At 40.0% G+C, this 18,602-nt stretch overlaps 1 protein-coding gene across 4 annotated transcripts in view, besides 6 other annotated features; it reads right to left on the reverse strand.

The window, feature by feature from the left end:
• Positions 1–427, reverse strand: part of CYB5A (cytochrome b5 type A) — a 41,118-nt gene extending 40,691 nt beyond the window's left edge. For all 4 annotated transcript variants that reach the window (NM_001190807.3, NM_148923.4, NM_001914.4 and 1 more), the window contains exon 1: positions 211–427. In NM_001190807.3, the coding sequence (NP_001177736.1) occupies positions 211–339 (129 nt within the window). In that variant the 5' untranslated portion in view covers positions 340–427. The remainder of the gene's footprint in view (positions 1–210) is intronic.
• Positions 219–388: an enhancer, noted in NCBI's record as "experimental_50301 CRE fragment used in MPRA reporter constructs". NCBI's record gives its function as "activates a minimal promoter by MPRAs in K562 erythroleukemia cells, with activity observed for the non-introgressed 18:71959075 variant allele {active_cell/tissue: K562}" and the evidence as "EXISTENCE:reporter gene assay evidence [ECO:0000049][PMID:34662402]".
• Positions 468–637: an enhancer, noted in NCBI's record as "experimental_50303 CRE fragment used in MPRA reporter constructs". NCBI's record gives its function as "activates a minimal promoter by MPRAs in K562 erythroleukemia cells, with activity observed for both the introgressed and non-introgressed 18:71959324 variant alleles {active_cell/tissue: K562}" and the evidence as "EXISTENCE:reporter gene assay evidence [ECO:0000049][PMID:34662402]".
• Positions 927–986: an enhancer, noted in NCBI's record as "active region_13495". NCBI's record gives its function as "activates an Ori minimal core promoter by ATAC-STARR-seq in GM12878 lymphoblastoid cells {active_cell/tissue: GM12878}" and the evidence as "EXISTENCE:reporter gene assay evidence [ECO:0000049][PMID:35858748]".
• Positions 1,346–1,515: an enhancer, noted in NCBI's record as "experimental_50307 CRE fragment used in MPRA reporter constructs". NCBI's record gives its function as "activates a minimal promoter by MPRAs in K562 erythroleukemia cells, with activity observed for the non-introgressed 18:71960202 variant allele {active_cell/tissue: K562}" and the evidence as "EXISTENCE:reporter gene assay evidence [ECO:0000049][PMID:34662402]".
• Positions 8,945–9,145: a silencer, noted in NCBI's record as "peak3184 fragment used in MPRA reporter construct". NCBI's record gives its function as "represses an SCP1 promoter by STARR-seq MPRAs in K562 erythroleukemia cells {active_cell/tissue: K562}" and the evidence as "EXISTENCE:reporter gene assay evidence [ECO:0000049][PMID:32103011]".
• Positions 18,283–18,452: an enhancer, noted in NCBI's record as "experimental_50330 CRE fragment used in MPRA reporter constructs". NCBI's record gives its function as "activates a minimal promoter by MPRAs in K562 erythroleukemia cells, with activity observed for the non-introgressed 18:71977139 variant allele {active_cell/tissue: K562}" and the evidence as "EXISTENCE:reporter gene assay evidence [ECO:0000049][PMID:34662402]".

Raw genomic sequence — 18,602 nt, forward strand, 5'->3', positions numbered from 1 at the left:
GACTTGGGGCGGTGGGGGGCGCCCAGGCTTGCACGCGCAGGTGTGCGGACTCGGAAGCGCGCCCAGGCGTACACGCGCAGGTGAGCGAACTCGGGGGGCGCGCCTAGGCGTAGGTATGCGGACTCCGGGCCGCGAAAGACAGGTCATGCCAGTGAACCCCCAAACCCGGCCCACGCTCCCTGCGCCCCAAGCCGCTCATCCCCAACTCACCTCTTCCAGAAATTTGGTCAAATCGTACACCTTGTGGTGCAGGATCAGCCAGGTGCTCTTGCTGTGGTTGTGCTTCTGAATCTCCTCTAGGGTGTAGTACTTCACGGCCTCGTCCGACTGCTCTGCCATCTCGGTTCGCCGCGAGCCAGGCCCAGCACACACAGCCCCGTCGGGTGGAGCAGAGCGCGCGACTCAGCCAGCTCCACCCGGGACATTCCCCGCGCCGGGAACCCCACTGGGGGCTGGGCGGCCGGCTCAGGGGCGGGGCGCAGTAGAAGGGCCTCCGACGGTTGGCCATCATCCTTGTCACTCAAAAGTCCCCGCCTTCGGTCGACCCCCTCCGCCTGCCCAAGCGTGGTCCCGCCCAGTATGCGGGTGTTAATTGGCTGCCGGAGGTGCCCTTCACAATCTCCCGGCTGCCGCAGCGCGCGGAGAGCGTGACAGGACTCCACGGAGTCTGCGCGGAAGGGCGGGACTAACTGTGGCGAGGGCTGAGGTGGGAGGTCGGGGGCGTCCCCGCGGGTTAAGCGTGCGAGAGAGCGAGGTGCACCAGCGGGCATGGATGGCCTGTGCAGAGTCCAGTCTTGTGAGGGCGGCGAACTAGGCAGCGAATCGCGGGAGTTTCCTATTGGCAGCAGTCCGAGTCCCAGACGTTAATTTGTAACAAAAGTAGCGATGGCCAAGCCCATAAAGGGGGCATCTCGGAAAGCCGTTCGCATGCACGGAAGAGATGAAAGCCCCGTGCGCGCTAGAAAACGGTTTCGCAACTCACTTCGGGAAGCAAATGCGCTGCCCCCCAAAACATAAAGTTGGCGAACTGTGCCTGACCCCGCTGGGGTTTTGGAATGCCTCGTCCTCACAGGAAAAAAATCCAGGGAAATCATCTTTTCCTTAAAAAGCAAAAGTGTCCAAATTATTTCTGTGACTGAAGTAGTTTGTCTGCGGTTGGCCAGTGACATGGCAAGGCCTTGTTTGTGCATTTAAGGTAAATCAGATTCTCTTCTAGGAGTCTGGAAGAGAACTTCCCCAAAGGGCACCCTCTTTCCCTTCTGACACAGAGGAAATACCACATATAAAGAGCTACAAATGTTTGAAGGAGAAAAAAAATAAAGAAAAATTCCAGCATGTTAAAATTTGATATTTTATGTAGGCCCTTTTCAGCAATGGTAGTTAATTCCAAAAAGAACCACACGAGAGGTTTCACATGTGGGGTCATCCATCCTTCCAGGGATGCAGAAGGTTCCTACACATACTAGGTGTCTGATGAATGTGAGCTCCCTTCCCCCTGCTTACCTCCTCCATAGGAATGCATGCCTATCCAGAAAAACACAAAACACACGCATGTCAGGCCTCTGAGCCCAAGCCTGCACATATACATCCAGATGGCCTGAAGCAACTGAAGAATCACAAAAGAAGTGAAAATGCTGAAGCAACTGAAGAATCACAAAAGAAGTGAAAATGGCCGGTTCCTGCCTTAACTGATAAGACAGTCACCTGTCCTCCTGCTCTTTGCTCTGTGAGAAAGATCCACCTACAACCTCGGGTCCTCAGACCAACCAGCTCCAGGAACATCTCACCAATTTTAAATTGGGTAAGCAGCTTCTTTTTACTCTCTTCTCCAACCTCTCTCACTATCTCTCAACCTCTTTCTCCTTTCAATTTTGGCACCACCCTTCAATCTATCCCTTCCCTTAATTTCAGTTCCTTTCCTTTTCTGATAGAGACAGAGGAGATGTGTTTTATCCGTGAACCCAAAACTCCGGCACTGGTCACGGACTCGAGAAGACAGTCTTCCCTTGGTGTTTAATCACTGCAGGGATGCCTGCCTGATTATTCACCCACATTTCAGAGGTGTCTGATCACCACAGGGACACCTGCCTTGATCCTTCACCTTGGTGTCAAGTACCGACCCCCCCTGTGTCTCTGCCCTCTCTTTTCTCTGGGCTTGCCTCCTTCACTATGGGCAACCTTCCACCCTCCATTCCTCCTTCTTCTCCCTTAGCCTGTGTTCTCAAGAACTTAAAACCTCTTCAACTCTCGCCTGACCTAAAACCTAAACACCTTATTTTCTTCTGCAATACCACCTGACCCCAATACAAACTTGACAGTGGTTCCAAATAGCCAGAAAATGGCACTTTCAATTTCTCCACCCTACAAGATCTAGATAATTCTTGTCGTAAAATGGGCAAATGGTCTGAGGTTCCTGACATCCAGGCATTCTTCTACACATCAGTCCCGCCCTAGTCTCTGCTCCCAATGCGACTCATCCCAAATCTTTCTTCTTTCTCTCCTGTGTGTTCCTTCGGTCTCCACCCCAAGCTCTGAGTACTTTGAATCCTCCTTTTCTGTGGAGCCATCTGACCTCTCCCCTGCTCGCCGGGCTGAGCCAGGTCCCAATTCTTCCGCAGCCTCTGTTCCCCCACTCTATAATCCTTCTATCACTTCCCCTCCTCACACCTAGTCCGGCTTATGGTTTTGTTCCTTGACTAGCCCTACCCCACCTGCCCAACAATTTCCTCTTAAAGAGGTGGCTGGAGCTAAAGGCATAGTCAAGGTTGTTGCTCCTGTTTTCTTTATCCGACCTCTCCCAAAACAGTTAGGCTCTTTTTCATCAAATATAAAACCCCAGCCCAGTTCATGGCCCGTTTGGCAACAACCCTTAAACGCCTTACCGCCCTAGACCCAGAGAGGCCAGAAGGCCGTCTTATTCTCAGTATGCATTTTATTACCCAACCCACTCCTGACGTTAGAAAAAGCTCCAAAAATTGGATTCCAGCCCTCAAACCCCACAACAGGACTTAACCTTGCCTTCAAGGTGTACAATAATAGAGAAGAGTGGCAATTACTTGCCTCTGCTGTGAGAGAAACTTCAGCCACATCTCCAGCATACAAGAATTTCAAAACGCCTAAACCGCAGTGGCCAGGCGTTCTTCCAAGACCTCCTACCCCAGGATCTTGCTTCAAGTACTGAAAATGTGGCCACTGGGCCAAGGAATGTCTGCAGCCCGGATTCCTCCTAAGCAATGTCCCATCTGTGCAGGACCCCACTGGAAATTGGACTGTCCAACTCACCTGGCAGCCATTCCTAGAGTTCCTGGAACTCTGGCGCAAGGCTCACTGACTGACTCCTTCCCAGATCTTCTCGGCTTAGTGGCTGAAGACTGACACTGCCCGATCGCCTTGGAAGCCTCCTGGACCATGATAGATGCTTTAGGTAACTCTTACAGTGGAGGATGAGTCCATCCCCTTCTTAATACGGAGGCTATCCACTGCACATTACCTTCTTTTCAAGGGCCTCTTTCCCTTGCCTCCATAACAGTTGTGGGTATTGACGGCCAGGCTTCTAAACCTCTTAAAACTCCCCAATTCTGGTGCCAACTGGGACAGTATTCTTTTATGCGCTCCTTTTTAGTTATTCCCGCCTGCCCAGTTCCCTTATTAGGTCGAGGCATTTTAACTAAATTATCTGCTTCCCTGACTATTCCTAGGCTACAGCCACACCTCATTGTCACCCTTTTTCCCAGTTCAAAGCCTCCTTCACATATTTTCCTTGTATCTCCTCACCTTAATCCACAAGTATGAGACATCTCTACTCCCTCCTTGGCAACTGATCATGCACCCCTTACCATCCCATTAAAACCTAATCACCCTTACCCTGCTCAACACCAATATCCCATCCCACAGCACGCTTTAAAAGAATTAAAGCCTGTTATCACTCACTTGTTACAGCATGGCCTTATAAAGCCTATAAACTCTCCTTACAATTCCCCCATTTTACCCCTCCATAACCCATTCTGTTCTGGATCTCAAACATGCTTTCTTTACTATTCCTTTGCACCTTTCATCCCAGCCTCTCTTCGCTTTCACTTAGACTGACCCTGACACCCATCAGCCTCAGCAACTTACCTGGGCTGTACTGGCGCAAGGCTTCAGGGACAGCCCCCATTACTTCAGTCAAGCCCAAATTTCTTCCTCATCCGTTACCTATCTCGGCATAATTCTTCATAAAAATACATGTGCTCTCCCTGCTAATCATGTCCAGCTAATCTCCCAAACCCCAACCCCTTCTACAAAACAACTCCTTTCCTTCCTAGGCATGGTTAGGTACTTTTGCCTTTAGATACCTGGTTTTGCCATCCTAACGAAACCATTCATTCTCCCCATTTCCCCATATTACCTCTTTCCTGTTCCCCACCCAGACCACGCTTGGTTTATTGATGATAGTTCTTCCAGGCCCAATCGCCAATCACTGGCAAAGGCAGGCTATGCTATAGTGTCTTCCACATCTATCACTGAGGCTACCACTCTGCCCCCCTCCACTACCTCTCAGCAAGCCAAACTCATTGTCTTAACCTGGGCCCTCACTCTTGCAAAGGGACTGCATGTCAATATTTATACTGACTCTAAATATGCCTTCCATATCCCGTACCACCATGCTGTTATATGGGCTGAAAGAGGTTTCCTCACTACACAAGGGTCCTCCATCATTAATGCCTCTTTAATAAAAACTCTTCTCAAGGCCACTTTACTTCCAAAGGAAGCTGGAGTCATTCACTGCAAGGGCCATCAAAAGGCATCAGATCGCGTCGCTCAGGGCAATGCTTATGCTGATAAGGTAGCTAAAGAAGCAGCTAGCATTCCTACTTCTGTCCCTCACGGCCAGTTTTTCTCCTTCTCATCAGTCACTCCTACTTACTCTCCCACTGAAGTTTCTACCTATCAATCCCTCCCCACTCAAGGTAAATGGTTCTTAGACCAAGGAAAATATCTCCTTCCAGCCTCACAGGCCCATTCTATTCTGTCGTCACTTCATAACCTCTTCCATGTATGTTATAAGCTGCTAACCCGCCTCTTAGAACCTCTCATTTCCTTTCCATCGTGGAAATCTATTCTCAAGGAAATCGCTTCTCTGTGTTCTATCTGCTATTCTACTCCTCAGGGATTGTTGAGGCCCCCTCCCTTCCCTACACATCAAGCTCGGAGATTTGCCCCTGCCCAGGACTGGCAAATTGACTTTACTCGTATGCCCCGAGTCAGGAAACTAACATACCTCTTGGTCTGGGAAGACACTTTCACCAGATAGGTAGAGGCCTTTCCCACAGGGTCTGAGAAGGCCACCGTGGTCATTTCTTCCCTTCTGTCAGACATAATTCCTTGGTTTGGACTTCCCACTTCTGTGCAGTCCAATAGCGGACGGGCCTTTATTAGTCAAATCACCCAAGCAGTTTCTCAGGCTCTTGGTATTCAGTGGAAACTTCATACCCCTTATCGTCCTCAATCTTCAGGAAAGGTAGAACGGACTAATGGTCTTTTAAAGACACACCTCACTAAGCTCAGCCTCCAATTTAAAAAGGACCGGATAGTACTTTTACCACTTTCCCTTCTCAGAATTAGAGCCTGTCCTCGAGATGCTACAGAGTACAGCCCATTTGAACTTTTATATGGATGCCCTTTCTTGCTCGGCCCCAACCTCGTCCCAGACACCAGCCCTCTAGGTGACTATCTTCCAGTCCTCCAGCAGGCTAGACAGGAAATTTGCCAGGCTGCTAATCTTCTCTTGCCTATTCCAGATTCCCAGCCTTATGAAGACACCCTATCTGGACGATCAGTTCTTGTTAAGAATCTGACCCCTCAAACTCTACAACCTCGACGGACCGGACCCTACTTAGTCATCTATAATACCCTAACTGCCGTCCTCCTGCAGGACCCTCCCCATTGGGTTCACCGTTCCAGAATAAAGCCGTGTCCATTGGACAGCCAGCCTGATCTCTCCTCTTCCTTCTGGAAGTCGCGAGTACTCACCCCTACTTCCCTTAAACTCACCCACATTTCTGAAGAACAGTAGTAACCCTTATGAGCCTAATACATCCCTTCATTTTGTTAGGTCTATCCTTCCTTACCAGAGTCTTTGCAACAGGGCCTTATGCAGTCACCCCCACTACTTAGACTGCATCCCAAAAACTTTTCATCCCTGCTCTCTTCTGTCTAGTCATACTCCTATTCTTCGTTTTCACCTCTCCATACATGCCCTGCCCTTGTCTACACTGCCAGCTTATACTTTTCCTCCAAACCATCATAGCTGGTCCTGGTCTTATCCCCTAACTGCCACTCTTAACTCCCTCTTGGAATGGATAAATGGCCTTTGCTGGAAAAGCACACTCCACTTCTTTCACCCATTTTACATTTCCAGTTTCGCCTTACGCAAGGTCTCTTCTTCCTCTGTGGCTCCTCCACCTGCATGTGTCCACCTGTTAATGAGACAGGAACATGTACACTAGTTTTCCTTACCCCAAAAATCAATTTGCAAATAAGACCGAGCAGCTTCCTGTTCCCCTCATGACACCAACACTTCACTATTATTTTATTTTTTCTTATTATTAATATAAGAAGACAGGAATAGGCCTTGACTTACTCACTGCTGAAAAAGGAAGACTCTGTATATTTTTAAATGAAGACTGTTGTTTTTACCTAAATCAGTCTGGCCTGGTATATGACAACATAAAAAAATTCAAGGATAGAGGCCAAAAACTCACCAGCCAAGCAAATAATCATGCTGAACCCCCTTAGGCACTCTCTAATTTGAAGTCCTGGGTCCTCCCAATTCTTAGTCCTTTAATACTTGTTTTTCTCCTTTTCTTATTCGGACCTTATGTCTTCTGTTTAGTTTCTCAGTTCATACAAAACCATATCCAGGCCATCACCAATCATCCTATATGACAAATGCTCCTTCTAACAACCCCAGAATATCACCCCTTACCACAAAATCTTCCTTCCTCTTAATCTCTCCCACTCTAGGTTCCCATGCCACCCCTAATCCTGCTCGAAGCAGCCCTGAGAAACATCACCCATTATCTCTCCATACCACCCCCCAAAATTTTCCCCACCCCAACACTTCACCACTGTTTGTTTTTCTTATTAATATAAGAAGACAAGAATGTCAGGACTCTGAGCCCAAGCCTGCACATATACATCCAGATGGCACGAAGCTACTGAAGAATCACAAAAGAAGTGAAAATGGTCGGTTCCTGCCTTAACTGATGACATTACCTTGTGAAATTCCTTCTGGCTCAGAAGCTCCCCCACTGAGCACCTTGTGACCCCCGCCCCTGCCCTCAAGAGAACAACCCCCTTTGACTGTAATTTTCCACTACCTACCCAAATCCTATAAAACTGCCCCAGCCCTAACTTCCTTTGCTGACTCTCTTTTTGGACTTAGCCCACCTGCAATTAAAAAGCTTTATTGCTCACACAAAGCCTGTTGGTGGTCCCTTCACACGGACACACGTGACAATGCACACACACATTTTTTAAGCATTCCAAAATGATCACATTTTTTTCATATCAAGCAGACATTTCCAAGTGTAACATTTTGTTATTCAGAGATATTTCTAAGTACTAAGTAGTGTTAAGAGGGTAAATTATTTGTACTATTATATACTAATCAGTCATGGTTCATATATAATATAGAAATATTTTATTTCACATTAACCAACAAAAATATGTTGAAACGATTTCAAATCTTTAATTGTGAAATAATTGTAGGTTCACAAGAAGTTGCAAATATAGTAGAGGTGCTGTGTACCCTTCATCCAGTTTCCCCCAATGGTTACATCTTTTTATAACTATAGTACAATATCAAAACAAGGAAATTGGCATTGTATAATGTATGTGCCCACAGTAGGCCCCCCTTATCCTCAGGGAATAGTTCTAAGACTCCAGTAGATGTCTGAACCCACCAATAGTACCAAACCTGATTGCCACTGTGAAAGTTGATCATATAAATTGAGTCATTCTTATCATGCCCAATTAAAACAAAGTTGAGAGGCCAGGGGAGAAAAGCACTCAGGAAACATCATATATTACCCTAAGAATGTAATTGTCTGAAACCCCACCCACAGAAACTGGTTATTGTTAACTTAAAACCAGTTTTATCTAATAGCTATTGAAACAACCTGCTTCTACTATAAGACTTTTTACCCACCACCAACACTCACCAATCAGAACTTGCCAGGTCCCCAAAACTTTACAAGTGCTAATGAACTTTCAGAACAATACATGTGACTCCTTTTTATAAAACCTCAAACTTTCCCTTTGTTCGTTGGACATACCAAAGACCACTCGTGTATGCTTGGACTTGCAGTTCTTGCTTCCCAAATAAAACGTTTTAGATTCACCTCTGTATTGTATTTGACTTGGACATACTTGGTATCTGAAGTGGGATTCCAAAGCTGACTCATCTTGGCTTTGAGGTTTGGATGAGGGAATTTTCCTCTTCATTTGGAGAAGACTGTCATCTTTCTTGGTAAATATGTACTTTATTTTCTATCAGTTCTTGCATTTACTTGGCCTTTGTTTATTAGCACTTGCATCTAATTGGCAAGTGCTTAATCACCTAGATAAATTTAGTTACAAATGGGCTCTCAAAGTTCAGAGGCATGGCAAAATTTTTTTTTAACTCCACCTGGTAACATGTTTAAACATTACAGAGATCATTCAAACAGACTATTGTTCTTAAAACTAAACTAAAAAACCACAGCTATAAAATCATACACTGCAAATAAGAATTAGATTTCAATTGATACTTTGAGGCAAAAAAAAAAAATCAGCACTCAAAGACTGTCTAACTACAAAATACTGTCTCAAAGGTAGCTGGGAGGCTTTCCTCTCTGGATCTTCCCCTCCCCTTCTTACAATTCCTCCTCTTCACCCTTTTGTAACCTAAACTTTCTTTTTCTAAAACAGCTAAGCTATTCTGTTGAATAGCTAAACACTTGAAACCAGCAGATATAAAATAAAATTGTTTTGACCTTCGTGCTGTTTCTTAAAAGCTAAAGATTAAATTCTCATGTAAAACACTATACTATAAGGAATGGCAGCATTTTTATCTTCAAGGACAAATAATTGAGAACAAGAAAACACTGTACAGACCTTGTTAGAGTAACTCTTACCTTCTACCCCTCCTCACGTAATTCAGACACATTTCCACAGTTACTCTTTGTCCAATCCACTATGTTGGTAACTGCCTCAAACTGCTTTGCTCAAAATTTGTTTCACAGCCATATCAGGACTACAAACAACAAGTTAAAAGCTTAGCCTTCTCCCAGTTTGTGAGGAAATAATTTCAATTCAACTGCTTTTTAGGAAACCAGTATGTATGTTTTAATATCTCATGACTAAAATTCTAAAATAAAATCTGTAAGATCTTTATTTATATGTATGTGTATGTGTTTAGATGTATTTATGCATATATACATGTATTGTGTGATGTGTTGCATCTACATGATAAAACCTGGTGTAGTCCGCCAGAAATCCCTTAAGGAATTCTATTTAGATAAAATATGTACTCATATAAAATATGTAACAACCCCAAATATTTTTGCTTTGCCTTACTTAAACAAATCCTTGATAAATTAATTGGTTTTTAAATTGTTGATAAAATAAAATTAGAAAAGTCTTCAAAATTGTCAACATTTTTGGCTGGGTTTATTGTTCAGTTTTATATTTGCCTCTGCTAGAGTTCTTAAGGTTATAAAGCTATAAACCCAGCCTAAAACAAAATAATGTTTGTGTATGCAATTCTTTGATTGATAAGGTTTAATATTGTTGATTTAATAAAAACAGCTGTATTTTCTGGGTTAAGAACAGGATACCCATGTATTAAACTTTAAGGTTTCACCTTAGGTAAACACTGGATATTAACAGGCTATGAAATTGGTTAATAAAAAATAAAATAGTGACTTGCTCTAATATTTTAATTTTCGTAAGTAATCTAGGTGTAATTACTAAAAAATAAATTAGGTAATCGGAAATGAAATTAACATTTATAAATGAAACTTCTATGCAATTTAAAATTTTAAAGTTGTATTAAGTAATAATACTCATTAAATGACCAAGTTATATCCAAAATTGAGCCAAATTGGTAAATACATCAAAGTTCTTTCTTGGCTTCTTAAATTTTATAAAAATACTAAATATGTTTAGGTCTATTAATCAAAATATGAATTTAGGGAAAAATAACTTTGTATGAGAAAAAAATCTTAAGTGGTACATTTTTGTCCTGAGATTAAATAATTAGTTATTCCAAAATTTACAAAAAAGAAAAACTATAGGACTAAGAATGGGGGCTTGGGAAAATAATGAAAGTTCTAAACAAGTTGAAGAGGATTTATAGAAGATGGGCTTTATGAAGGAAGTTTTATTTGTGATCAGATTGGCTGGGATTAGAAAGAAATTGTTTATGTGTTTTTCTAAAACTTAAACACTGGTGTCAGGAGTTGCTGATACCGGACCAGAGTATAATCCTCTATATTTAAAATAACAAATATTTCCTGAAGTACTGATCTGTCCTTAATAAAACTGCAAGAAGTTTTGATTTTTAATTCTAAAATCTGTTTAACAGCCATGCTCTGAACTGCACAATTTTTGTTTCTGCCATTTTTTCCTGAGATCTATTTAATTTCTCTAGTTTCAGGTTTAAAATGCTGCCCTTTTCATTGAAAATGGTAATTTCATTTCCTGAGGTAAAGTTTTCCTTTTGAAATTTCTCAGATTCACATCTCAGAGATTCAACTTTTGCTATATCTCGCTACACGTGACTTGTAGATCCGACATCCCTGCTTTCACCTTTTTCCTCCCCTTGTGAAGGCCTGGGGTAACAGTGCTCTTCTCCAACTTTGCTATCAGCTCCTAAAACATTTTTTTTTTCCAGTTCTAACTCTGCTTTTTTGGCGTGACACTGAAATATTTATCTTAAAGGCCTAGAAAAGCAATATTTTCCTTCAGTATAACTTGATTCTGTACTCTTAGCTTTTCTTGATGTATATGAATTGTTACACTCATAACTTTGGACATAGTCTTCGTATGTCTGCATCAGGCTTGACTTCCAGGTTATCTAAATGAGGTTCCATAAGGAGAAACACTCACCCTGCAGAAAGTTTTTCTCTACCTTTTTGGTAGCGGGTCCAAGAAACAAAGATTTTACATTTTGTCAAGATAACTTTCTATGTTGCTTTTATTAGATTTTTTATTACTTAGGAAAACTAAGCTTTGAAAGGGTTAAGCTTTTTATATCTGTGTAACTTTCTGGATTGCTTTTAGAGTCTTTTGACTATCATTCTTTTTAAATGAATGACTATTATTTTACAGTGACCTGTTATTCTGTTTTGATCAAGTGTTTCGAGCTTTTTAACGTCTTTGAAAAACTTCCCTAAAATCAAATCCTAAATTAAGTCTTTCTGACCTAGAATTAACTTTAGGATTTTTCAGTTGAGCCCATGGAAAGCCTCAAAAGATATATGTCATCTTGTAGAGATATTAGTTAGGCTTATTTGGTAAACTGTGTAGGAAACATTGTCAAATAAGTGATACTAGATCTTTTAGTTACATTTATGGGTATGTTGTTGATAATCACGTTTCAAAAATTACATAAATTCACAGAAATCTAATAAGTTAGACATATTAGATAGGTTCATCCTGTCACTGAGGAACAATTAAGCCTTACTACATAATGGTTGGTCCCTGATGTTTTCAGAGAAAAATCCTGATCAGAAAAGGGAAATGTGAAAGGTGATCATACAAATTGGGTCATTTTTTATATTCAACGAGAACAAAGTTGAGAGTCCAGGGGGAAAAAGCACTCGGAGCACATAATATAATAACATTGCACTAAGAATGTAATTGTCTGCAAGGCTGGCTTCAGAAACTGCCTGTTGTAATCTGAAATCAGTTTTAGCTACTCACTACTGAAACAACCTGCTGCTACTCTAAGACCGGTTTTACCCACTACTGTCACTCACCAAACTTTCTAGTGCCAATGAACTTTCAGAATAACACGTAACATTTCTCCTTTTTATAAAACCTCCAACCTTCTTTGTTCTTCAGACGTACTAAAGACTGAAGACTAAAATAAAATGTTCTGTGTGGGGCCAGAATTGCAATTCTTGCTTCCCAAATAAAGTGTTTTAAATTTAGAGATTCATCTCTATATTTTGACTTCAACATTATCAATAAAAACATGTTTCTGTTCATGTCTTCCACTGAGAAATGTAATGCCTTTTGCATCTTAACTAAGCAGTTATCACACACTGTGGTCATAACTTCTGCAGTTTCAGGTGCAACGGCAAAACTAACCTGAATTTTTCTTTCTTCACAATTGCACAGGTCGAAGATCATTCTTACCTTAGATCTTAGCAGTCTCAGCCTATTTTTTTTCTTTCCTTATTAAATTGAGAACTTTCTTTTTTTTTTTTCACTTAAAGGAAGCACTTCACAGCTTCTCATTGGCATATCTGAATTGCCAGCATCACTACTCTTGCACTTTGGGGCCATGTATTAAGTGAAACAAAGTTCACTGGAACACACAGTGTAATACCACAACAGTCAATCTGATAGCCAAGAAGGCCACTAACTGGCTAACTAATGAGCGTGGAATGCCTACAGTGTGGGTATTCTGGATAAAGGGATGATTCACATGCTGGGATGTGAGGGCAAAGCAGGAAGGTGCCAGATTTAATCCTGCTACTCAGAATGCTGCACAATTTAAAACTTATGAATTATTTATTTCTAGGATTTTTTACCTAATAATTTTGGACCGTGGTTGACAGTTGGTAAATGAAATCATGGAAAATGAAACTGTGGATAAGGAGGCCTATGTTAGTTCCATCCTGTCTTAGATTTCTGTAGATGTGTGACAACCACCACAAACAAGATACAGACTGTTCTATCACCACAAACGTCTCCCTGTTGCTACCTCCTTATAGTTGTACCCACTGCCTTTCCCATACCACCCCTAACCCCTCATAACCAGCAACGTTTCCCATCCATATAATTTTGTCATTTAAAAAATGTTATATGAATGGGACCATACAAAATGACCTTTTAGATTGGCTTTTTTCGCTTAACATAATGCCTCTGACATCCATCCCAGTTTTTAAATGTATCGATAGTCAGTGCCTTTTCATTACCAAGTATTATTGCATGGTATGGATGTACAAGAGTATCACAGTTTATTTAGCTATTCCCCTATTGAGGGACATTTTGGTTGTTTCCAGTGTTTGGCTATTACAGCAAAACTGCTATGAACAATTAGTGTATAGGTTTTTATGTGAACATAAGTTTTTATTTTCTTTAGGATAAATGCCCAGAAGTGTGACTGTTGGGACATATGGTTTAGTGTATGTTTAGTTTTTTTGGAAACTGCTAAACAGTCTTCCAGAGTAGTTGTACCATCTTATATTCCTACCAGCAGTGTATGAGAGATCCAATTTTTCCATATCCTCACCAGCATCGGTATTGTCACTATTTTTTATTTTCAATTTTCTAATAGGTATGCAGTGATATCTTATTGTAGTCTTAATTTGGGACATCTTTTCATATACCTGTACTTATTTGTCACCTGGATATCCTCTTCAGTAAAAGGTCTTTTCATGTCTTTTGCCCATTTTAAAATTTGCCCATTTAAAATTTTTTTATGTTGAGTTTTGAGAGTTCTTTTTATACATTAGATATGGATCTATATATTGTTAGATACGTGGTTTGGGAACATTTTATCCCCATTTGTAGCTTGTATTTTCATCCTCTTACTCTTCCTCAAAGCAAAAGTTTTTCATTTTAAAGAGGTCCAATTTATCACTTTTTTTCTCGTATGCATCGTGTTTTTGGTGTCATGTCTAAGAACTTTACCAAGCCCTATATTTTCTCATATGCTATCTTCTAAATATTTTATAGTATTACATTAATTGTATAATTTATTTTGAGTCACTTACACTGGGGTTCATTTTTCTTGTATCTAGTTGCTCAAGCACCATTTGTTTAAAAAGACTATCTTTCCTTCATTGAATTGCTTTTGCACCTTTGTCAAAAATTAGTTCATTGTACTAGTATGAAGCTATTTCTGAGTTCTCTGTTCTGTTCCATTGATCTATATATCTATCCTTCCCCAATATCATCTAGTCTTGATTAGTGTAACTAGGCAATAAGTCCTGAAATCAGGTAGAATGATTCTTTCCACTTTTTTTTCCAGAATTGTTTTAGCTATTCGAGTTTGTTTGTCTTTCCATACACATTTTAGAATAATCTTGTCTGTATCTATTGATGCATTGGAGATTTTGATAGGAACTGCTTTAAACTTGTATGCCAGTTTGGGAGAACTGCTGTTGACTTTTCCAATCCATGTGCACAGAATATCTCTCTACTTATTTAGAAATCTCTCTTAATATTTTTATCAGCATTCTTTAATTTCAGCATATAAGTCCTGTACATGTTGTGTTAGATTTACAGCTAAACATTCCTCTTTTTTTTGAGTAACTGTAAATGGTATTGTAGTTTTTATTTGTTTCTATGGGTTCACTGATAATATATAAAAATACAATTGATTTTTATGTTTGTCTTATACCCTGCAACCTTGCTGAACTCAGTTTTTTTGTAAATTTCTTGGCATTTTCTACATAGATCATTATGTCACCTATAAATGATGTGTGTCTTTTGTTTCCTTTTCTTGTCTTTTCACACAGGGTAGACCATCCAGTACTATGTTAAATAGCAGTGGTGACTGTACACCCTTGTCTTATTCTTGTTCTTAAACAGAAAGCATTCAGTCTATCACCAGTAAGTATAATGTTGTATATCTTTCTAGATGCTCTTTATGAAACTGAGGAAGCTCTCCACTATACTCAGTTTTCTAAGAGTTTTTATCATAAATGGGTGTGAATTTTATCTAATTATTTTTCTGTATCAGTTAATGTGATAATGTAATTTTTCTTCCAGACTTTCATATGATGGAATACATTTATTGATTTTCAAATATTCAAATAGCCTTGCATCTCTGGAATTAAGCCCACTTGTTTATGGAATATAATTCTTTTTATATATTGCTGAATTATATTTTTAATGTTTTGTTAATAATTTGTGTATCTGTACTTATGAGAGATATTGGTGTATGGTTTTCTTTTTATGTACTGTAATAGTCTGGTTTTGATGTTAGGTTAATAGTGACTTCATAGAATAAATTGGGACCTTCTTTTCTATTTTTTCTATTTTTCTGAAAAAGATTTTGTGAAATTAATGTTAGACTTCTTTAAAGGTTTGGTAGAATTCTCCAGTGAGACCATATGGGTCTAGAGATTTCTTTTTGAGATTTTAAGCTATCAATTAAGTTTCTTTAATAGTTATAGGACTATTCAAATTACCCATTTCATATGGGGTGTGTTGTCACAGTTTATACTCTTCCAGAGAATTGGTCTGCTTCATTGAAGTTGTCAAGTCTATGTGTGTAGAGTTGTTTGTAGTAGTCCTTTATTATCCTTTTCATGTCTGCAGGGTCTGTAATGGTATCTTCAGTTTAATTCCTGATATTTGTAATTTGTGACTTTTGTCTTTTTATTTATTTGTCAACATTTCCAGAGATTTACTGATCTTTTAAAAGGGAAAGCTTTTTGTTTCACCGATTTTTTCTATTGTTTTTCTTTCTTCAATTTCATTAACTTTCTCCTTCTATCTTTATTACTTCCTCCCTTCTGCTTGCTTTGGGTAAACTTTTCTCTATTTTTCTAGTTTCTTGAAGTAGGAGTTTAGATTATTGATCTGAGATTCTTCAACATGATCCCAAAGTTCCACATCTAACGTTCCCTTTTCAGGAAACCAAGGACAGTGTTCTTCCACTGCCCTGAATAGGGTGACCGTATTTTCCATGGGCACCCGAACTCCTCCCTGTTTTAACAGGAGTTTAATATAGCAGAGATGGCATAATGTTTAGACTCCGTGTGCCCCATAGTTACTCTGGACAATACACAGACAACTCACCAATCGTCAGGGAGCCGAACAAGCGTTTCTGTGGACCGAATGGATGAACGTTTCTACGCACCTACCAAAGGGAATCGGGTTTCCACATGCCCTTAGGAAAAAGAAAACCATGTTGGCGCACCAGATATTGGGGGAACCCGCCCCCAATATTTCAACATACATTCTTTCTATTTTCCGTGAGTGTCAGCTGGCTGAGAAATAAAGAGAGACAGTACAAAGAGGAATTTTACAGCTGGGCCGCCAGGGGTGACATCACATATCGGTAGGACCGTGCTGCCGGCCTGAGTCACAGATCAGCAAGTTTTTATTAAGGGTTTCAAAAGGGGAGGGGGTGTAAGAACAGGGAGTAGGTACAAAGATCACATGCTGCAAAGGGCAAAAAGCAGAACCACTAATAAGGGTCTAACAAAACCTAAGTGTCCATCAACAGATGAATAAAGAAAATGTGGTGCATATACACAATGGAGTACTATTCAGCCACAAAAAGAATGAGATCCTGTCATTTGCAACAACATGGATGAAAATGGGGGTCATTAAGTGAAATAAGCCAGGCACAGAAAGACAAACTTCACATGTTCTTAACTTACTTGTGGGAGCTAAAAATTTAGAACAACTGAATTCATGGAGACAGATAGTGTAATGATGGTTACCAGAGGCTGGAAAGGGTAATAACAGGGAGTAGGGGAAAAGTGGGGATAGTTAATGGGTACAAAAACAATAGAAAGAATGAATAAGACCTAGTATGTATTAGCACAACAGAGTGACTATAGTAAAAAATAATTTAATTGTACATTTTAAAATAACTAAAAGAGTGTAATTATTTGTAACACAAAAGGTAAATACTTGAGGGGACAGATACCCATTCACCCTGATGTGATTATTATGCATTGTAAGCCTGTATCAAAATATCTCATGGAACCTATAACTATATACATCTACTATGTACCCCATTAAAAATAAAACATTAAAAAAATAAATTTTATCTTGTGCTATTATTATTATTACTCAAAAGATTTCCTTATTCTAAAACAAAGATGAAGAAGCATCCTATCTGGCAGTTACTCCGATGTGAAGTTAATCTAGGCAAATTTAGAGACAAACAACAGAGAAAGCAACACAAATATTTACAAACTCCTCCTGACTTTCCCTACAGTAAAGACAGTTTTATACATATTTAGAAAACCACTCCTACTCCTAAAGTTCCTCAGGTAAAAATATAAAGTAAAAAGCACTCATTCTTCTCTTCTACTATAATACCAAAAAGTAGTAATGTTACTTTTTAAATTATTTTTTCTAATTCCTTCTGTCACTCAATCCACAAGACCTACTTGGGCAGATCTTTCCTGCCCATAGGCAAATAGTTATATCAACAATAGAGAGCTGGTTCCCTCAGCAAATGAGCACTTCCATGCAAATGAAATCTTCAAATATCTACACAAATTATCTGTAATATATCCATGTCTTTTAAATATCATGTTAGCACAGGTTACTTTTTTCCTTCCAAAAATATTTCTATTTCTAGTAGATAACACCACATTTAGTTGATTTCTAAACAATTCCCCATCTATTAGCAGTAATTCCCAAACTCTGCTAAATTTTTAAAGTTTTTATTCATTTTAAAATAAAGCATTTATGACTTGAAGTTGTTTTTCCCTCTTGTACCTTTATAACCCACCAGCATGTCTGCTGGGAGCCTCTGATCATTTGGATTGCCGAGGCAGAACAAGGAGCAGAGCGCAACGGATAATATCTCACCATAAACCCAAAACAAATGTCTGAAGTTCATTGCTGACATAGTGGAATTTTCCTCAGTAACTTCAATGACAAGTTAATTATGTAGGGCATCTTACTTACTGTAAATATGTCCTTAGGCACATTTTTCTTGTAGGTCCATCTTTAAGTAGGAGAAGGCCAATAAGGACAGTAAATGTTTAATTGTAGGACATGGTTGAAATATAAAATTTATTTTTTAAATCTCTTTTTGTCTCCAGCATAAATTGAACAAGGGTAAAATGGTAAAAAGGAAATTCCAGATATCATATTTAACTTTGTAAAGTGTCCAGGGTTCTAGACAGTTCCATGAAATAGTTGATGCTGCCGCTGTCATAAGGTCACTATATTAATTCGTTCTCACACTGCTATAAAGATACTACCTGAGACTGGGTAATTTATAAAGAAACAAAGGCTTAATTGACTCAGTTCTGCATGGCTGGGGAGGCCATGGGAAACTTACAATCATGACAGAAGGCACCTCTTCACAGGATGGCAGGAGAGAGAAGAAGCAAGCAAGAGAGGAACTATCAAACACTTATAAATACATCAGATGTCCTGGGAACTCACTCGCTATCACAAGAACAGCATGGGGAAACTGCCCCCATGATCCAATCACCTCCCACAAGGTCTCTCCCTCAACACCTGGGGATTACATTTCAAGATGAGATTTGGGTGGGGACACAAAGGCTAACCTTATCAGTGACCCAAGTCAGAAGCTTGGGAATCATCCACGTCATCGTCAAAACAGAATTCATCACCAAGTCCTATAGATTTTACCTGTTAAACATCTCTCCAATCGGTGCTCTTCTCTTTATTCCTAC

Source organism: Homo sapiens, chromosome 18 (genome assembly GCF_000001405.40).
Source record: "Homo sapiens chromosome 18, GRCh38.p14 Primary Assembly".
NCBI lineage: Eukaryota > Metazoa > Chordata > Mammalia > Primates > Hominidae > Homo > Homo sapiens.